At 45.6% G+C, this 20,985-nt stretch overlaps 1 protein-coding gene and 1 long non-coding RNA gene across 18 annotated transcripts in view, besides 1 other annotated feature; one reads left to right on the top strand and one right to left on the bottom strand.

The window, feature by feature from the left end:
- Positions 1-1,495, bottom strand: part of DIS3L (DIS3 like exosome 3'-5' exoribonuclease) — a 40,590-nt gene extending 39,095 nt beyond the window's left edge. For 5 of the 14 annotated variants that reach the window (NM_001323939.2, NM_001143688.3, NM_001323940.2 and 2 more), the window contains exon 1: positions 1,069-1,236. Coding sequence is in view for 4 of the 14 variants with exons in the window: in NM_001143688.3 (NP_001137160.1) it covers positions 1,069-1,207 (139 nt within the window). In the remaining 10 variants the exon portion in view is untranslated. Of the gene's footprint in view, positions 1-355; positions 990-1,068; positions 1,237-1,436 lie in introns of those variants that run through there. The other 9 variants (NM_001323944.2, NM_001323943.2, NM_001323946.2 and 6 more) reach the window with 4 other exon arrangements.
- Positions 780-1,439: a silencer, noted in NCBI's record as "silent region_6562". NCBI's record gives its function as "represses an Ori minimal core promoter by ATAC-STARR-seq in GM12878 lymphoblastoid cells {active_cell/tissue: GM12878}" and the evidence as "EXISTENCE:reporter gene assay evidence [ECO:0000049][PMID:35858748]".
- DIS3L-AS1 (DIS3L antisense RNA 1) lies at positions 1,305-16,309 on the top strand. 4 transcript variants are annotated; one of them, NR_183867.1, is made up of 2 exons: positions 1,305-1,478; positions 15,761-16,309. It is a non-coding gene; the product is annotated as a DIS3L antisense RNA 1 (long non-coding RNA). The 4 variants fall into 4 exon arrangements; NR_183866.1 differs by having other exon boundaries at positions 1,305-1,578; NR_183868.1 differs by lacking the exon at positions 15,761-16,309 and adding an exon at positions 8,617-9,464.
- The last annotated feature ends 4,676 nt before the right edge of the window (positions 16,310-20,985 follow it).

Genomic DNA, 20,985 nt, shown 5'->3' with positions numbered 1-20,985 from the left:
GAAGCTGTGATAAATACAAGCTCAACGTGGTTTATGGTGTTGCCAGAGGTGCCGGAGAGGATGGCTGATTTAACAACGAACAAGCACATTTTCAGCATAACCTGAATATTTCAGTGTTAACTCATCATTGACAAACACATTCAAATGAAGCACCCCCACATTTATACCACTTGTGTATGATGCCCAGCAATTTAAAGTTGGCTCTGTGTCAAGCTTCTGCACGTGCTCAGCAGCCTCCAAGGGCCAGAAAGATTGAACAGAGAAAATGCTCCGTGCAAGCAACGTGCAGAGGTGAGGTTTCCCACCAGACCTGCATCTGAGAGCTGGTTAGCCAAGCTCTAACTGAAATGTTCACCTTAATCACAATGTTTGGAGGATTCCACACATTCGCTGACAAGGACCCCCAGCCCATTCTCATCCTCCCATGGGGGAAGAGAGCCAGTAACGTGCATCGTTCTATCGGCCACCCTTGTGGCCTAGAAACCAAGGACTGGGGCCCAGGAGTCCCCAGTCCAACTTCCCCGTGACCTTCCGCTCCAGTGCGGGCCCAGAGAGTTCACAAATCTACGGTGAAGTGGCTCTCCACTGGGGGAAAAGTCTGGGGCAACAGTGCGGGCAGGTCAGGAAACCTGTGGCTGCAAAGCAGGCGATGTCAGCTTCGCAGCGGCAGCAGCTGGCCTGTAGCTCCCGGGGGCTCCCAGCTCGGGACCTCCCCATTTCTCCACGGCGCGAGGTTGCGGCGGGAGGAGGCCTCGGCTTCCGCGCCCTCAGGCCCCTCTGAGGAGCCAAACCACCCGGCCTCCGGCATGGGGTGCGGGTCTGTCGGGCCCTCCCATTGGACAGGGCGGAGCAGTAAGGGAGTCCCGGGCGCCCCAGAAGCCGCGGACCCGGGCCGCTGGGTCCCCACCGGCAGAGAGCCGGGGGGTGAGGCCGGCGAGCGGGCGCAGGCCGCGGGGCCTACGCCTCCGTGTCCCCGCCGCTGGCGCTCCGCCTCCCGGCCGCGCTCAGCCCCTCACTGCGGCCGCCCGCTCCCGCCGGCCCCGTCCCCGCCCCCGCCCCGGCCCTGACCGTGGCTGCAGGCGGCGGGCTGCGGGCAGAGCGGGCTGTGGCAGGGCACGCAGGGCCGCAGGTAGTGCTCGCGCACGATCCGCAGCGTGCGGCCCTGGAAGGTCCTCAGCAGCAGCACCTTCTCCCGCTTCTGCAGCATGGCGGCGTGTCTCCCGGCGGCCGCGGAGTGGCGGGCGCGGCGGAGGCAAGGCCGCGGCCTCGGACCCGCCCCTCGGCCCTAGGCGCCGCGGCTCCGGAACCGCCGTAACTGCCGCGCCCGGGGGAGGCCCGGAGCTACACGCTCCAGGCTGGGGCCCGGCCCTCCCGGCCTTAGTTTCTTCCCTTCCCTCAGTGGCCTGGACCAGGGCGGAGGGGTGGAAACGACCTACCCCAGAGACGGAGGGAAGACTAGGATGATACCTGGACGGCAGGTGAAGAAGGGCTGGGCGCAGCTGTCCAAGATTAGGAGACTTTGTTTGTCCCCCCCAGGTCCATGTGGGAATGGAGCCGCCGTATTAATACTAATACCGGGTAATTAATGTTTTCTCTTCGTTGCTCTCGCTATCTCCAAACGAGGTAAAAGACTCAGCACATAAGCCGGCAACCCTGCCAGCCGAACATTTCTAAAAAGTTATATTCATTTAAAATTACATGTACTTTTTTTAAAGTTTTTTTCTTTTTTTGTAGAGATGGGAGGGTGAGGGGGGCAGGTCTTGCTCTGTTGGCCCGGCTGGTCTCAGGCGATCCACCTGCTTCGGCCTCCCAAAGTGTTGGGATTATAGGTGTGAGCTGCTGCGCCTGGCCTTTCATGTTCTTTTTAAAATTTATTTATTTGTTTTGGTATCCCTATTGAAGTTATCATGTACTTATATAATCAAACAATGCAGATAAAATGAAAACCAATCTCTTCCCTTGAAGCACTGTTCCACTCCAACTTTTATAGCTTTTGCAGCCTCTGGCAAAGGATTTCTCCTTTAAACTGCCACTGTGACACAATCACAAACGTACATGTTTGTATTAATTTTTTTTTTTTTTTTGGACAGGGTCTTGCTGTGTCACTCATGCTGGAGTATAGTGCATGATCATGGCTCACTGCAGCCCCCGAACTTCTGGGCACAAACGATCTTCTCCACCACGCCTAGCGTTTTTTTCTTTTCTTTTCTTTTCTTTTTTTTTGTAGAGATGGGAGTGTCTCACTATGTTACCCAGGCTGGTCTCAAACTCCTGGGCTCAAGTGATTCTCCCACCTCAGCCTCCCAAAGTGCTGGGATTACAGGCGTAAGCCACCACGCCCAGCCTGTAGCTCTTGATAAAGAGATGCACACAGTCTCTTCTGAGATCACACACCCTTGATGGGATAGAATCCACTCTTCTTCCAAGCACTCAACTAAGACTTTTGAGCTGCACTAGCAGCTTTGTATACGTGTCCCATTTAATTTCCACAACAAGTCAAAGGAGTGGGGCATTATCATTCCTATCTTATAGACTATAAAACAGGGTTAGGGAAGTTAAGTGGCCAAGGTTACCCAGTTATTAAGTGGTGGGATCAATATTCAAGCCAGAATCTGACTGAATTCCAAGGAGGCTCAGAAGTAATTACCGTGCTATTCAGAGATGAGTAAAATACAGGTCCTGCATTTAGAGACTTTATAGTCTGCTTGGTGAGCTCCAGTTAAGGCAGCTCAACCAGCTGGCTGGAAACATCAGACTTCCTGTGATGCTGAAGCAGGCAGAACTGAGGATGCTCTGTTGGATGGCTCTTGTCACTCTACAGGAATGCATGAAAGAGAGCCACGATCTCCCACTCATTGTACTTCCATGTCAAGTTACCCTGCAGTGTGAGCTGATGTGAATGAGATCTGAGGTGGAATTGCACGAATTAGGAAAACAGCACAGAGCTGGCCTGTAAGGCAACCAGCAGTGCAGGAGGCTGTCCCTAATTCAGGAGGTCAGTTCTGGACAGCCCAGAGGACAGTCAAGTTGCCAGATTTGTCCCCTACATAAATATGTTCCAGGCAGCTGACCACAGTTCCCTTCAAAGCTCCCTCACGTTCATTTTTCTTTTATTTCTGATTATACCAGGTTATGGGGGGGGGGGGGTGTTGATTAGATACTAATATGCCCATGACATCGCTTTTTAGCACTTGGTAGCTTTAAACTTTCTTCAAATTGGGTCAAATGATCTTTTAAGGAAGAGAGTGTGTCTGGAGTTCTATTGAAAGTTGGCTTTATTAGTATTTTAAATAATTCAAGGTCCATTAAGCACTTCTTTTGCTTGCATTTTGGCGATAATGTATAAATTATGTTTTAAAAAGCATGATTCCTTAATTCTTGGAACTAATGAGCTAAAATGGACAAGAGTGCCTTTTTGTTGGTTGGTTGGTTGGTTGGTTGGTTGGTTTGCCTCACAGGCCATCTGATGCCTCTTGCCTGAAAAAAAGTGTCTATACTTGTAAGAATAAGCCAGTTTATGCTGTGGTAATATGCAACTTTAAAAATCTCAGTGACTTGGCCAGGTGCGGTGGCTCACGCCTGTAATCCCAGCACTTTGGGAGGCCTAGGAGGGCAGATCACCTGAGGTCAGGAGTTCGAGACCAGCCTGACCAACATGGAGAAACCTTGTCTCTACTAAAAATACAAAAATTAGCCGGGCATGGTGGCACATGCCTGTAATCCCAGCTACTCGGGAGGCTGAGGCAGGAGAATCTCTTGAACTTGGGAGGTGGAGGTTGCAGTGAGCCAAGATCGTGCCATTGCACTCCAGCCTGGGCAACAAGAGCAAAACTCCGTCTCAAAAAAACAAACAAAAAAATCTCAGTGACTTAAAATGACAAGATGTTGCCTAGGCACCAAGAGGCTCTGCTCTGTGCCCTTTTCCAGGACCCAGGCTGATAGAGCAGGCCCTCTCTGGAACACAGACTGTGGTCATTGGCAAAGGAAAAAAGTCCCCCAGAGAGTCTCATCCCAGCAATTAAAAGCTCAGTCCAGAAGTGACACATTTCAATTCTGCCTATTGACCACACAATAGGGGTGGGTGGGGCAGGAAGTGTGTGCCACCTCATGACCTGAAGGGCAGAGCACTGAAGCCCTTTGGTGAACAGCATCAGTGACTACCTGAGTGACCTAGCTCAAATCCCTTATCCCTAAATGAATCAGTCTGCTCTGCCAGCACCTTAACCTTTGTTGCTTGTGACTACTTCAGCTCAGCCCACTATCTGGTCTCTGCTTGGGCATTCTACTGCTCTCCTCTTTTCATATTTGATGTGTCTTTCCCAAACTCCATGACCCCGTAGGCCAAGGATATATCACCACATTATCTCTAATCTTTATCACAACTCTTCAGTGTAAATATGTGATTTCTTGTGGCAGAGACTGGTTCTGGCTCTCTGTTTGCCAAATCCATGCCCTCTTTTTCTCTGGGCACAGAGATAAATGACATTTCCCAGCTTGCCTTGCAGATACACAGGTGTGGCCATGTGACTGAGTTCTAGTTGGCGGAATATAATGGCACCATTTCCAAGCCTGGCCCATAAAAACCTCCCATGCATGCTCCTTTTCCTGTTCTACCAGCGGGAGACCAATGCCCAGGGGATTTTGAGAGCCAGCATTAGAGATGGCAGGCCCCTCATCAACTTGGGTCCCTGAAGGACTGTTCACAGCAGAGTGCTGCTGCCTTTGACCCAGGAGCATCCACAGTGGATTCTCTCTCTTTTTTTTTTGAGACGGAGTGGCCCAAGCTGGAGTGCAGTGGTGCAATCTTGGCTCACAGCAACCTCTGCCTCCTGGGTTCAAGCGACTGTCTTGCCTCAGCCTCCCGAGTTGCTGGGACTACAGGCGCAAGCCACCATGCCCAGCTAATTTTTGTGTTTTTAGTAGAGATGAAGTTTCACCATGTTGGCCGGGCTGGTCTCGAACTCCTGACCTCAGATGATCCCGCCTGCCTCGGCTTCCCAAAGTGTTGGGATTACAGGCGTGACCCACCGCGCCTGGCCCACAGTGGACTCTTGTAAGGGAGAAATAAACTTGTTACCGCACCTATCATCACCCTAACTAATTACTCTCTTTATAAAGGAGATTAAGGAACTTGTCCAAGAGTTGTGTAGGGCTATTTGTTCCAAAATCCTTCACTAGATATTAAATGTCCTCATGAAGCTGCTACAGTTTTCTTTTTTCTTTTGTTTTTTTTTTTCTTTTTTTTTTTTTGAGACAGAGCCTCACTTTGTCACCCAGGCTGGAGGGCAGTGGCAAGATCTCCATTCACTGCAACCCTCACCTCCTAGGTTCAAGCGATTCTCCTGCCTCAGCCTCTTGAGTAGCTGGGATTACAGGTGTGTGCCACCACACCCGGCTAGAAGCTGCTCGAGATTTCTAGGGCAGTTCTGAATTGCACAGTTCTCTAGGAGGTGGGAGAGCATCAGTGGCCTGCATGTTCTGGTTTGGTCTGGGCTACAGTGTAACACTGGGAAGGATGCCTGGGGGTTGCTTCTCCTCTCAGTTTTCCCTTTCCTTGTCAATCCAAGTGCAGATGGACAGCCTGACATCCATACAGAAGAATGCTGTGACAGCTTTCAGTACTCTGTTGCCGACTGAAATCTGTGACTGTGGCTTGTTTTCTTTGGTGCATGACTTCACTCTTCAGGCTGAGCACCAGTGTGCTTACACTGCAGAGGAGTTTGTAGCATTGACATGACTTCTGGCAGATGTGCTCTTGGAGTGCAGCCATCAGCAACTACTGGATTGTAATCAAAAGGTCTCATCAAAAAATTAGCCTGGGGTGGAGTGGGACATCTTTGCAAAGGGCTAAGAGGACGGGGGTTAAATGTGTGCAAGAAATTCCAGCAAGTGAACTCCAAGGGCCAGAGTGGATTACTGAAGCAAGCTTTGAAATATTCTGTATTTATTTATTTAAAATTACAATAGTGCAACATACATGTTGTAACACATTCAAACAGTACTGAAGTATGCCAAGTATAAACGTTGAAGCTCTCTTTCCATCCAAAGTCTACTCCTCCCAAGTAATTCACCATTGTTGATAGCTGGAATGCATCCTGAGTTTAAATAGAACCCAAAGTTTGCGATACGTTGGAGAATTTGTCAATCTATGCAATATCAGCTAATTACAACTAAGGTTTCTCAAATTTTGACTAGGTGCCAGGCATTTCTCCAAACGCTTTCTGTATTTTCTCATTTAATCCTCAACACAATGTCTTGCTACTTCTTCTACTGAGGTAGAGAAGGACCGAAGTGATTACCCAGGCCACACACTCAGTGTAAAGCAAAGCCAGGGTTTTTTTGTTTGTTTATTTTTTGTTTTGTTTTGTTTTGTTTTGTTTTTAAGTTTTAAGTTTTTTTTGTAGAGACAGGGTTTTGCTATGTTGTCCAGGCTGAGCTCAAACTCCTGGCCTCAGGCATCCTCCCACCTTGTCCTCCTAAAGTGCTGGGATTACAGGAAACCCAGACTTTGAACCCAAGCAGTTGGGCTACAGAGTTCACACAGTAGTGACTCAGCCATATACCTTTTAGCTAGTAGACAAGGAGAGTTCTAGGATGGAGTACATTCTATGTGGTGGACCATGGATGGACCCAGTTACAGGGTTACAGAACTGGAAACAGTGACATCCAAGTATTGACTCTACCACTTCCCTCATTTCCCTGAGCCTTAGTGATTGCAACTGTAAAGTATGGCTGGCAGGTCTTATGTTGCTGAGTATTGATATTAATGAATCAATGATGCTAAAGGGTCATGTAAATACTGTACCTAAAATTACCCCATATATCTACAAAATCAGCTTACTTTCATTTGTACTTCATCTCAGTGAAAGAGTCATTGGAGGACAAATGGCTGTTGAGATTACTCTGCTACTTGTATTAGGGATAATTTAATTTCCTACATGTTAAAGGCTGTTAATCCTCGATTTTCACTTTCCCCAGCAGATGCAATGACTCCCTTTCGGCTTTCTAAACGCCCTGCGAATCCCCATAATCCACTTTGCAATGATTACTCTAAAATGTTTTACTTAACTCTTTCTAATTTTTTAAAGGGAAAATTATTTTGCGCTTACAAATTGTTATACCTCAGCAAGATCTTTACTGTACTGATAATTTTGTCCTTCTACCACTAAGGGGCGCTGCTTCATTGAATTTTTTTTTTTTTTTTTTTTTTTTTTTTGAGTGCCTTTCCTAAAGTCTTCTCTGTGTCTTGGAAACTTGGCATTAAAATGCATCCAATTAATTGAGTCAGACAAACAAACAAAACCTTAGAATTTTAACAATATCTTTATTCAAGGAGCTGAAAGGCTCTGATGCTCCAAAATTAATTAGAAACTAATCTTCAATGATTAATACAGGAAAGAAAAAGAAAATTCTTTGTCTTGAAGCAGATTAGGAGAAAATTCAGTGATGTAAATAGCAATTTATAATTTCAAAACAGAAACATTACTATTATTTCATTTTTTTGTATTAATTGATGAAATTAAGTTTTCATCCATCTTGTAGGATTTCTATTACCAGTCATGGAATATAGTTATTTCATGGGATAAATGCACTACATAAAGTCTTTTGGCTTATTTTGCTATTTTTTTTTTTGAGACGGAGTCTCCCTCTTCACCCAGGCTGCAGTGCAGTGGCGCGATCTCAGCTCACTTGCAAGCTCCGCCTCCCGGGTTCACGCCATTCTCCTGCCTCAGCCTCCCCAGTAGCTGGGACTACAGGTGCCCGCCACAATGCCCGGCTAATTTTTTGTATTTTTAGTAGAGATGGGGTTTCACCGTGTTAGCCAGGATGGTCTCGATCTCCTGATCTCGTGATCCGCCCGCCTCAGCCTCCCAAAGTGCTGGGATTACAGGCGTGAGCCACCGCGCCCGGCTCTTTTGCTATTTTGTTACTGTATATGTTTGAACTTGGGAAAGTGAATCCCATTTTACATCTTATGTTGATAAACTGAATTCTAAAACCTTATAATTACAATAGGAAGGTTATGAAAAATGAAAGAGAATAAGGAGTACTTAGTAATGATCCTAAAGTTCTAGGTTTTGGATACATCTGAATGAGGTATTAAAATGTAGTGCAGGTGTGATCTTGGTTCACTGCAGCTTCCACCTCCTGCATTCAAGTGACTCTCATGCCTCAGCCTCTTGAGTAGCTGGGACTACAGGTGCACGCTACCACACCTGGCAAATTTTTGTATTTTTAGTAGAAATAGGGTTTTGCCATGTTGGCCAGGCTAGTCTTGAACTCCTGCCCTCAAGCAATTCACCAGCCTCAGCCTCCCAAAGTGTTGGGATTACAGGCATGAGCCACTGCACCTGACCCAATTTAAATTTTATTATTTAATAAAGGAAAAGACATTCTATTCTTTTGTACCTGCTTCTAAAGGAAGAAGAATGAGGTATAAAATTTAAAATTGCATTTGTACTTAACTTTCTTTACATTTTAGGCCAGAGCAAATATGCTGTATCTGATTATACTAGATTTCTATTATTGCATGACTACCACAAATTTAGCAGCTTAAAAACAGTAATTTATTATCTCACAGTTTCTTTCCTTTTTTCTTTTTTTTTTTTTTGACAGGGTCTGGCTCTCTTACCCAGGCTGGAGTGCCCTGGCACAATCTCAGCTCACTGCATCCTCCGCCTCCTCGGCTCAAGCCATCTCCCACCTCCGCCTCCCAAGTACCAGGGACCACAGGCACACACCAGCATGCCTGGCTAATGTTCATAATTTTTTTTTTTTTTTTTTGTAGAGATAGGGTTTTGTCATGTTGCCCAGGCTGGTCTTGAACTCCTGGGCTCAAGTGATCTATCAGCCTCAGCCTTCTGAAGTGCTGAGATTATAGGCATGAGCCACCATGCCTGGCCTATTTCAGTTTCTATAGTTCAGAAGTCTGAGCATGGCTGAGTTAGATTCTCTGCTCAGGGTTTCACAAGGCCAAAATCAAGGTGTTGATTGGGCTGCAATCACTTCTGGAGCTTGGGGTCTTCTATCAAGTTCACGTGGTTTTTGGCAGAATTTAGTTCTTTGTGGTTGTAGGGCCGGGCCTGCAGTTCTCTTGCTGGCTGTTAGCCAGCAGTGCTCAAAGCTCCTGGAGGCCCCTGCGGTTCCTTGCCATGCCCTTGCACACTTCCAAGCTCTTTCATCAGAGGAAGCCAGGCACTTTATGGCCTCACCTTATCAGATCAGGCCCACTGAGGATAATCTCCTATGTTCAGGTCAGCTGATTTGGGACATTTTTTTTAAATCTAAAAAATTTCAATTTCGTCTATAAAATCTCTTCAGAGTGGCACCTACATTAGCCTTTGACTGAATAACTAGGAAAAATGTGTATGCCAGGGTTCAAGAATCTTTGGGAGCCATCTCAGAATTCTGCCTACCATGATGCATAATAATCATTTGAACTCAATAAATTATATTTAAAACTATGGTATTTGTTAAATATTTGAGAGCAGCATAAATAATGTTCTTAAAAAAGGAATGGAGGCTGGGTGTGGTGGCTCATGTCTGTAATCCCAGCATTTTGAGAGGCTGACGTGGGCGGCTCACTTGAGGCCAGGAGTTCAAAAGTAGCCTGGCCAACATGGCGAAACCTCATCTCTCTAAAAATACAAAAATTAGCTGGGTGTGGTGGCATACACCTATAATTCCAGCTACTCAGGAGGCTGAGCCATGAGAATCACTTGAATCCAGGGAGCGGAGGTTGCAGTGAGCTGTGATCATGCCACTGTACTCCAGCCTGGGTGACAGAGTAAGACTGTCTCAAAAAAGGAAAAAAAAAAAAAAAGGAATAGGAGAACCAGGCTGGTAATCCAGAGGCTAGACAAAAGTAAATACATGATGGTGAATGCCGCCTCGGTTAGTTCAAGCTGAGGGGCAGAGAACTCTGCCAATATATATTAACCCACAGGCTGTTCATCTTCAGTAGCACTGATTTACACCGGGCCCAGAATTCACTCAGGAATCCTTGTACAGTGCCCAGCCGCTTTTGCTATCACAAGATCAACTTGGGGAGAGGGCAGTGAACTGAAGTCACTTTGATCCCCTTCCATTTCTACAAACAAGACCCACTTGGAGAGGGCAGTGAGGCTGGGAGGTGTTGTGGGTGAGAATAGTCTTCTTCGTTCCACTCCTTTTCCTACCTGTGAGGAATGAGGCTGTATCCTCCAGCTTAGGATCCTCTCTTAAAGACTTCATACCAGGTGATGGGAAGCCTGGCGTTTTGTGAAGATTTGAATTTTAAATAGAATGTCATCATCATCAGAGGCCTCCTTCATTGTGCGTCTGGCTGCTGTGATCAAGCCCAGGAGAGTGGGAGGCTGTGGGTATTTGCTGCTCATCTTCCATGTGGAATTGTGACAGAGTCAGAGCTGTGATTCAGGAACCTCCTCTGATTGCAGTGTTTGCATGGGGGATGCAGAGGGCTTTCCTTTTCACTTTTTTTTTCTATTAAATGTGACATTTTTAAGAGATATCATTAAAAAATATTCTTCCTCCCTGAAGAGAAAGGGCTTGGATCTTAGATATCTTTCACTGAAACCATAAGGCTCTTGTCATGTTTACCATTTAAGCCTTCAGGGCCTTATCTTTTCTGTCCTGGAGAACGGAAAGCATTTTGATCCCCTTCCAGTTCTACAGACAATGTTCTTTAATCAGCTGGAGGCATCACTGTTGATCAGACAACAGTACTTCCCCCTCCGTGAAGCTAAAAGCACCTGCCAATCTGAGCAAGAGAGAAGGGGTGTTCTTTGAGCGCACAGAGCATTGTTATTTCAAATATACATGAAACTATAGAAAACAACCTGAAACCCATTGTTTTTTAATAGACGCCGAGGGTAGTGGCATTTACTAGACTTGAAAACAATGCCATGAATTTGCATATTCACCAAATGCATTTATTGATTTATGGCTAGTGTGATATTTGTGATATTGAAAATGTAGTGTTTCATTTCCTTTGTCACTAAGTTCATCGTCTTAATGAAAATGTAAAAAGGAAAAATGACTAAATAGGAAGTAAAATTGTATTGTTAGTAATATTGTTGATACCGGGTGTGGTGGCTCACACCTGTAATCCCAGCACTCTGGGAGGCCGAGGTGGGTGGATTACTTGAGTCCAGGAGTTCCAGACCAGCCTGGGCAACATGGGAAAACCCCCATCTCTACTAAAAAAATACAAAAATTAGCCGGGCATGGTGGCGGGCACCTGTAATTCCAGCTACTTGGGAGGCTGAGGCAGGAGAATCACTTGAACTTGGGAAACGGATGTTGCAGTGAACTGAGACTGCACCATTGCACTCCAGCCTGGGCAACAAGAGTGAAACTCCGTCTCAAATAAAGAAAAAAAAAAAAAGAAACGCTATCTCTACAAAATACAAAAAAATTAGCTAGGTATGGTCGTGCATGCCTGTAGTCTCAGCTACTCGGGAGGCTGAGATGGGAGGATTGCTTGATCCTGAGGAGGCCAAGGCTGCAGTGAGCAGTGACTGTACCACTGCACTCTAGCCTGGGTGACAGAGTGAGACCCTGTCTCAAAAACAAACAAACAAAACCAAAACAAAAAACAAAGTAATATTGTTGATTAATACTGAGCAGGCTGTAATAAACCACACTTTTCTCTGTCAAAATACTTGTATTAAGCTTTCTTTAGTTTTATATATATATATATATATTCTATATATAAAAATACATATGATATCAGTTATATATACTCAGTTGTGATTGGTTGGGTTATACTGCAGTAGCAAAAAGCCCTGTCTCTGTGGTTTTAAACAACAAAGGTTTATTCCTCACTCATGCAATATGTCCCTCTGCTCTGTTGAGCTCACCAGGAGACCTAGGCTGATGGTGAGCACCCTCTCAGTGCTTCTGCAGTTGCTTGGCAGGGGAAAAAGAATGAGGCAAACTAAGCACAAGCTTCCCATAGGAAATGACACAAGTGACCTGCTCACAGTACTAGCCAAAGCAAGTTACTTGGGCACACCCAATTCCAATGGTAGCAGGTGGAGAGCCAGAAATCCTTGGTGAACACATAGATATGTATTATAATGTGTAGATTGAAAAGGGGAGAAATAGCTTCAACTGTAGCCAAGCAAGTCAACTTTGATTTATTATTGTAATATTGTTACATTCATAAGTTTAGAATTAATGAAAACAATGACATAGGCAATGTTCATAGAATATACTGCAGTTAATGAGGAGGATAAGGCAGATCTTTATGTTCAGACATGCAAATATCCCCAAGAAATACTGAATTTTAAAAAGAGCAAGTAGCAGAATACTATGATCTCATTTATTTAAAAAGCACATAAAATATATATAAACATTTGTGTGTCTGTGTGAAGTCCATAGTAAAAGGCCTAGAAACACTTACTATTCATGGCAGAATAGAATGGGATTTGTGTAGCATGTAGGGGACTTGCTCCCATTTTACTTGGTGTAATCCTGTATTGTTTGAATTAATTACATTCTACATTTATCATGTATTACTTGTTGTATTGGTTTCCTGGGCTGCTGTAACAAATTACCACAACTTGAGAAGGCAGGAATTTAATGCTTTGACAATTCTGGGGGCCGGAAGTCCAAAATCTGGCAGGACTGTGCCCCTCCAAAGGCTCTGAATGAGAACCTGCTCCTTGCCTCTCCCAGCTGCAGGGCTGTCAGCACTCCTAGACTTGCGGCCACATCACTCAAACCTCTACCTCCCTGGTAACATTGCTTCTTCCTCTTCTGTGTGTCTGTGTGTCTCCCTTTTATAAAGGCACTCACCCACCCAGAGAATCCAGTGACCTTCTCATCTCAACATCGTCAACTTTGTTGTATCGCAAAGACCTTTCTCCAAATAAAGTCTTATTCACAGATTCTGGAGATTAGGATGTGGACACAAGTATTTGAAGTAGGGGCATCATTCAACCCACAATACTTGTGTAATGTGAGAAAATTTTTAAAAGGAAAGATAGAAAAAATAAATCATCAACAGTGATTACTTTCACAGCTGGGTGCGGTGGCTCATGCCTGTAATCCTGGCACTTTGGGAGGCCGAGGTGGGTGGATTGCCTGAGCTCAGGAGTTCGAGACCACCCTGGGTCACATGGTGAAACCCGACTCTACTAAAATACAAAAAATCAGCTGGGGTTAGTGGTGCACACCTGTAGTCCCAGCTACTCGGGAGGCTGAGGCAGGAGAATCGCTTGAGCCTGGGAGGTAAAGGTTGCAGTGAGCTGAGATCGCACTACTGCACTCCAGCCTGGGGACAGAGCAAGACTCTGTCTCTAAAAACAACAACAACAACAGTAACAAAAACCAGTGATTACTTTTAGGAGAGAAAAATCTCCAAATTTGCTCTTAGTGAACCTATGTAACATTTATAATCAGAAGAAAACAGAGACAAAAACAGCGGAGCAATAATAAATCCCCACGACCACCACAAAAGCAGAACATAGGCAGGTCCTAATTTGCACACACCCTGTGAACCAATGACCTAGACACACCAGGAAGGAGTGGAGAGGTCACGTCCTCAAACTCAGCGAGGGGCCTTGAGTTCTTAGAACCACAGAGACATTAGCCTTCTCTCACACAAGGTAGTGCCTTACCTTGGGGATAGTGCCCAGGAAGAGTCAGAAGAGGGGAAAATGCTTTTCTGGTGTTGAGTTGTAGAAATTAAAATGCATTTTCTCCACAGAAGCAACATTATTGAGCAGAGTTTGCAAGACTGGCCCAATTTCAGCTTACTGATAGATCTTGTTTCATTTGCACTGTGTTGAAACTTTTTTCTAATTAATTGCCAACTATTTCACATAAAAATTCGGGTTTTGGCTTCTCCCAATGTGCCGCATTGGGTCCGCATTCTCCCAGGGCAACCATCCGATGCTGGAGCCTGGGGTGGCTGGTGGCCCCTTTTAGAAGCAGCCTGGAGTGGCTGGTGGCCCCTTTTAGATGCAATGTCCATCATGCCCTATGTTCCTGGTCTGACTCTCCTTGCTTATGTATTGTCCACCTGGCCACTTCAGGCATTCACATTTGCAAACCCCTCCTGAATAGAATAAAAATCACTTTGTGGTATTATAATGCAGTACATTAAGGGTTAAATGGGTTTGTGTAGGTTGGCTGGAAAACCCAGGCACTCTTGCTTTCAGGGAAAAACACTTCTAAGTTCCAAATAGCCAACCCATGAACTTGAAGCCTGCGACCTGTTCATCAATTGGTGACTCCTCAGTAGTGATGTTTTATAGTCTGCCTAAACAAGTAATAGAAAATGCACATCCGTGTATGCACTCAGATATCAGAAATTCAGTTCCATGGGCTATTTGGGAACGAAGTTTCAAAATTGTGCCATGGATGATTATATTGCCTTGGCCTGTGTCTGTGCACAGTGGGGCATGTGTGTACCCGGGGGGAGGGGGGTAAGGATGTGCTTTTGCAATATGAGGGCAGGGCCTGTCTTCCTAACCCCAATTGTGGAGATTAATGAGTCACGAGCCAAAATTAGCCTCCACCTTATTGGGTTAAAACCTGGGACCTTCATGAAATCTTGCTGGAAGCTACCTTGACTTGTGGCAGGCATTTCTAGAAAAGCTCTTGAATTTTTCACTGGAGCTGAGCCGTAGGTCAGAGGAGGTGGGATGCTTGCCCTGGGTCATGGAGAGTGTTGCCTCAATGGGGGCTAAAGCCTTTTGGAAGTCAGTGAAGAATGTTCGTAAGGTTCCCGTCTCCTAAATTAATAAATATTTAGTGAGCACTTACTCTGTTCAGGGTACTAGGCTAGGGTACATAAAAAATTAAAACCTGGATGGTGCTTGCAGACCAAAAAAATTCCAACCCGACGGGGATGTGGGGAAAGAGACAAAACGTTAAGTAATAGCACAATGTTATGTATAACAGATGAGATGTCACAGGTAGTGAGTGACAAATTGCCAGAAGAATGGTAGAGACTCTGTATTGTGCATTCAGGGAAGAGAAATATTTCAGGCAGGGTGAGACCAAGCAGTGGAGATGGTGACTAAACCGTGTCTAGGCAGAGCAGAAATTGTAACAGCAGCAGATATGTGGCAATGGGAAAATGGAAGGTGGCTTTGGCTGTGACAGAGGGTTAGGTTAGAAAGTTTCAGGCAGGAGGACTGGGGAGAGTCTCAAATGGCAGGATGTGTCCTGTAGGCACTGGGGAACCCTGGAAAGCTTTTGAGCCGAGGAATGGTATGATCCAAGTAGTGTATTAGAAGATCAATCTGGAGGTGATGCCAGGGTGATCTGGAAGGATGAAGGGAATGAGAGAATAAGGGGAAGCTTCTGCAGAGGAGAAATGACTTAAGCATGAGAAGGCCAGAAGGGCTTGAAAAGAAAGGATGGAGGGGAGAGAAGTCCTAAGGACTTGGCGGAAGACAGATTGCAATGAGTGGAGGGGGCGCAATAGCAGCAGCAGCAGCAGCAGCAACAGCATATGAGGCATGGATGACTCTAGGTTTGGAGCCAGAAACTAGGACAATGGTGGTGCCACTAGCTTAAGGAGCCAAGTGTGGAGAGAGGTCCTTTGGGAGAGGGCAAGAAGAGCAGACTGTTTTGAGTCCTGCTTAGAGGCCCTGATGGGGCATCCAGATGATCCAGTGGCGCCATCTTGGTCACTGCAGCCTTCATTTCCCAGGCTCAGATGATACTCCTGCCTCAGCCTCCAGAGTAGCTGGGACTACAGGCATGCACCACCATGCCCGGCTAAATTTTGTATTTTTTCTAGAGACAGCAGTGATCCAGTTCCAGTCCCACTTCCTCAACTGCCGGCTGGTGGTTTCCACCTGCATGTGCTCATCTCTTTACTCATGCCCTAAGGACTCAACACCAGTGCCTGATAGGATCTACTGAGGATGCTGAAACTCACTTGATAGATGTTCAAGCTCCCCACGCCTTCTCCAGCTGGTGGTCAGTATTCTTAGGTCCAGCATACCACCCACCAAGCATCCTTGCCCGACTGACTAAGTGTTTTGTACCTGGACAATTCAAAAGGGAATGCGGAGGTTGCTCTAGCCTGTATCTCCTCCTCTGGGCAGACCCATATCTCTGGGATTCCACCAGCTCTTCTGACTATGCCTCCTGTGTTCCCCACTCCCCGCTGTCAGGAAGCCCTTCCTTTTGCCCACTTTACATCACTCACATTGACGTTTGACCTCCACATGGAATTCCAATGTGCCCCCGTTTTGTGACCAGGACTAGGCCCCCTTGACATCTACGAGCTCATGTGTACATGGGGTAACTCTGATAAAGCCAGCATTATTATGCTTCTGCTGAATACTCATTTATTATTGCAGTGCCTCCACCAGAACAGAGGAAAGCAAAGAAATTTGCACCCTGACCATCTGGGTTTGTTGCTAAACGCAAAGACAAAATCAGGAAGTGAAGCCCATGCTTAGGTACAATTGAGGCTGTATAGTTTAGCAGGATTCCCAGTAAGCCAGTCCTTATTGCCTTTCATTCTTCCTATTCCTTTGTCCTCTTCAATTTCTCCCCTTTGAGCATCAAGTCCCTTTTCTCTGCCCTTTGTGCTCTCTCCACTTCGATCCGCGTCTTCCTTCTTTGTCCCACAGCCAGTCTGCATTGATATTCATGCCAAAAGAATGACCCAGTCCGTTCTGTGGTAGCAATCCGAGACTGGTGACTGGTGCAACTGCTGGAATATATAAACATGACTCTTTTTCAGGTAGCATCTGGGATGCCAGTCTTAGCAGCCTCATTTAAAAAATTATTTATATTCACAAAAGTCTATAATAGCATTTTTATTGTGTACACCTGTGATTTGGGTGCATTTTTTTCCCCATGCCAGCTTCTTATTATTGTTCAACACTGACTACAGCCTTAAATGATAATGAAAACAGAAGCACTCTTTCTAAAAGGAATGACTGCTTTCCCCGTCCTTTAGTATATATGTGCTCCCTGCCTGAAGGGGATGGTTTAGTGTTTAGACGGCCGCTCCCGACTGCCTCCAAAACCAAGTTCACATCCTTGCAGCATTGACTCGGTCTTTTATTCTTCTACAGAGAATAAATTGAATACTAGGCTATTTTGTGTGTGGGTGTCTTTCAGATGAGACCTTAAAACCCAAAAGCTGTCTGTGGCTACTGGAGATGCTGAAGTTCTTGTCCTGCTGTCCTTGCCCTGGGTTCCAGAACCTGGCCTGGCCACACATGTCACACACTCACTTTACATTTTTTTATGTTTTGTTTTGAGACAGGGTCTCACTCTATTGCCCAGGCTGGAGTACAGTGGCGCTACCTTGGTCACTGCAGCCTCGACCTCCCAGGCTCAAATGATACTTCTGCCTTAGCCTCCAGAGTAGCTGGGACTACAGGCGTGCACCACCATGCCCGGCTAAATTTTGTGTTTTCTGTTTTTCTTTTTTTTGAGATGAAGTCTAGCTCTGTCGCCCAGGCTGGAGTGCGGTGGCACGATCTCGGCTCACTGCAACCTCCACCTCCTGGGTTTAAGCGATTCTCCTGCCTCAGCCTCCTGAGTAGCTGGGATTACAGGCGTGCACCACCATGCCCAGCTGATTTTTGTATTTTTAGTAGAGATGGGGTTTTACTGTGTTGGCCAGGCTGGTCTCAAACTCCTGACCTCGTGATCTGCCGGCCTCAGCCTCCCAAAGTGCTGGGATTACAAGCGTGAGCCACTGCGCCCGGCTAATTTTGTGTTTTTTCTAGAGACAGGGTTTCACCATGTTACCCAGGCTGGTCTCAAACTCGTGGGCTCAAGCAATCCACCCGCCTCAGCCTCCCAAAGTGCTGGGATTACAGGTGTGCACCACTGTGCCTAGCCCACACACTCACTTTTGAAGAGAGCTGTTTATTTGGGCCTTTATTCCCTCAGTTCCTGTGGTTTCTTTGCTTCTGTGACATGACCTGCTACTTTCACCCCTTGGTTTTCCAGTGCATTAAAAAATCAAGCAACAAAACAATTTCCCTTAGAGTCAAAGTGCTACAAATATAAGCTTGTTATCTGTATTCCATTATGATGAATAACTCACCAACCCTCATGCCATGTGTATGATTGACTTGCAATTATGTGTTGTATTTTACAGCACCTCCGAATGGTATTCTCCCTTGGCTGTTCCTCAAGCCAAGCCTGGAACCCCTGGGTCAAATGAGAATGGGTGGATTTTATAGACTCCAAGGATTTTATTTTCCCCGAGCCTAGATATTAGGTCTGTAATTAGCGATGCAATAATAATACCTTTTACTTGCCATTTTATGCCTTTTCAAAAATGTGTTTCATGTTTTTGTGATTAATTTTCACAAAAATTTCTTTGGCATAGGCAGGACAGATATAATGGGCTGTCTGATTTTACAGCTAAGGGACAGTCAAGGCAAGGTTCAATGACTTGCCCAAGTTCCTTCAGCAAATCTAAGACAGACCTGGGACTGGAACCGGATTTTGTAATTTCAAGGTGGTGGTTTTTCTGTGGCCACTGCGTGTGTAACAAACTCAAGACAATTGTAGTTACATTCAAGTTTTCATCTGATCCTGTGATGACCTTACAGGACAGGGTGAGCAGGTATTATCATCCTCATCTTTCAGATCAGGAAGGAGAACTCCAGAGAGATGGGGTTACTAGGGCAATATGGTAATTAAACAAAAGAGGAAGGACTTAATTCCAAGGCTCCAAGTCTGCAGCTTTTGGTGATGCTTTGCTGCCTGATTAATGCCTGAGACCACCACTCATTCAGTGGCTTTGGCCCAAAACTTAGACTCATCCTTGACTCCTTTTTTCCTCTTACTTCATATCTGACCCATCAGCAAATCTCACAGATTCTATCTTTAAAATATATTTCAAATCAACCATTTCTTATCACCTTCGCTGCTATTAGCCTGCTCTAATCCTTCATTCTTTGTCACCTGGATTGCTGCAGTGGTCTCCTGTATGGCTGGACTACAAAGATGGTCCTCAATGAAGCAGTCCTCAAGGACTGCTTGTACAACATGGACATCTCAGCTCACCTGTGACTCATTTTAGCCCGTAGAATGTGGAGGATGTGATGCTGTGTGTTTCTGACCTAAGTATTGAGAAGGATTTTATACTTCTGAGACCCCTGAGCTACCTGTATGAAGTCTAGGTACTAGTATCTCTGCCAGAGATTCTAAGTGAAGAGACCACATGAAGAGGAAGAGGCCTCAGACTGCATGGAGTGAGAGAGTCCCAGCTGAGCCCAACTTTTTACTGCCCCCATAACTTTTTACTGTCCCCTGGTGGAGCAGAAGAACCACCTAGCTGAGCCCTACTGACCTGTAGAATAATAAGAGATAATAAAATGGTGGTTGTTTTAAGACACTTAGTTTTGGGTTAGTTTTTTACATAGCAATAGATAACTAAAACATCTAAGGGGTCTCCCTAATTCCACACTTGTCACCAATCTATTTTCCAGAAGATTTAAAAAAATTGTGGTAAAATACTCATAACATAAAATTCACCATCTTAACCTTTTTTCTTTTCTTTTCTTAGAGACAGGGACTTACTGTGTTGTCTAGGCTGGAGCGCAGTGGCTCTCTACAAGTGCAATTACAGCACACTATAGCCTCAAACTCCTGGGCTCAAGTGATGCTCCTGCCTCAACCTCCCAAGTAGCTGGGACTAAAGGTGTGCACCACTGTGCCTGGCTTCACCTTAACCTTTTTTTTGGTTTTGTTTTTTATTTTTTTTGAAATGGAGTCTTGCTCTGTGGTCCAGCCTGGAGTGCAGTGGCATAATCTTGGCTCACTGCAACCTCACCCTCCCAAAGCTGTAAGCTGGATTATAGGCATGTGGCACCACGCCTGGCTAATTTTTGTATTTTTAGTAGAGACAGGGTTTTGCCACGTCTGCCAGGCTGGTCTCGACCTCCTGACCTCAGGTGATCTGCCCACCTCGGCCTCCCAAAATGTTGGGATTACAGACATGAGCCACTGCACCCAGCCACCTTAACCATTTTTAAGTATAGTTCAGTATTGTTAAGTATATTCACATTATTGTGCAACCAATCTCCAGAACACTTTTCATCTTGCAAATCTGAAACTCTGTATCTGTTAAACAATAACTCCCCATTTTCCCCTCTCTCCAGGCCCAGCAACCACCATTCTACTTTCTTTTTCTATGAACTTAACTCTTAAATTCCTCACTTAAGTGGAATTATACAGTATTTGTCTTTTTGTGACTGGCTTATTTCATTTAGCATAATGTCCTCAAGGTTCACCCATGTGTCAGAATTTTCTTCCTTTTTGTTTTTCGTTTTTGAGACAGAGTCTCACTCTATTGCCCAGGCTGGAGTACAGTGGCACGATCTTGGCTCACTGCAACCTCCGCCTCCCGGGTTCAAGTGATTCTCATGCCTCAGCCTCCCAAGTACCTAGGACTACAGGTGCGCACCACTAAGCCGGGCTAATATTTTGTTATTTTTAGTAGAGATGGGGTTTTGCCATGTTGGCCAGGCTGGTCTTGAACTCCTGACCTCAAGTGATCCGCCTGCCTCTGCCTCCCAAAGTGCTGGGATTACAGGTGTGAGCCACCACGCCCAGCAGTTTTCTTCCTCTTTAAGACAAATAATATTCCAGGCCGGCTGTGGTGGCTCACGCCAGTAATCCCAGGACTTCGGGAGGCCGAGGCGGGTGGATCATGAGGTCAGGAGATCGAGACCATCCTGGCTAACATGGTGAACCCCATCTCTACTAAAAATGCAAAAAATTAGCCAGGCATGGTGGCTAGTCCCAGCTACTTGGGAGGCTGAGGCAGGAGAATGGCGTGAGCCCGGGAGGCGGAGCTTGCAGTGAGCCGAGATCACGCCATTGCACTCCAGCCTGGGCAACGGGGCGAGACTTCGTCTCAAAAAAAAAAAAAAATAAGTAAATAAAAATAAATAAATAATATTCTATTGTATGGATAGAGCACATTTTGTTTATTCATGCGTCTGTCGATTGACACTTTGGGTGGTTTCCACCTTT

The sequence above is a fragment of the Homo sapiens genome, chromosome 15 (genome assembly GCF_000001405.40).
Source record: "Homo sapiens chromosome 15, GRCh38.p14 Primary Assembly".
NCBI lineage: Eukaryota > Metazoa > Chordata > Mammalia > Primates > Hominidae > Homo > Homo sapiens.
This window is presented reverse-complemented; position numbering and strand designations above follow the sequence as displayed.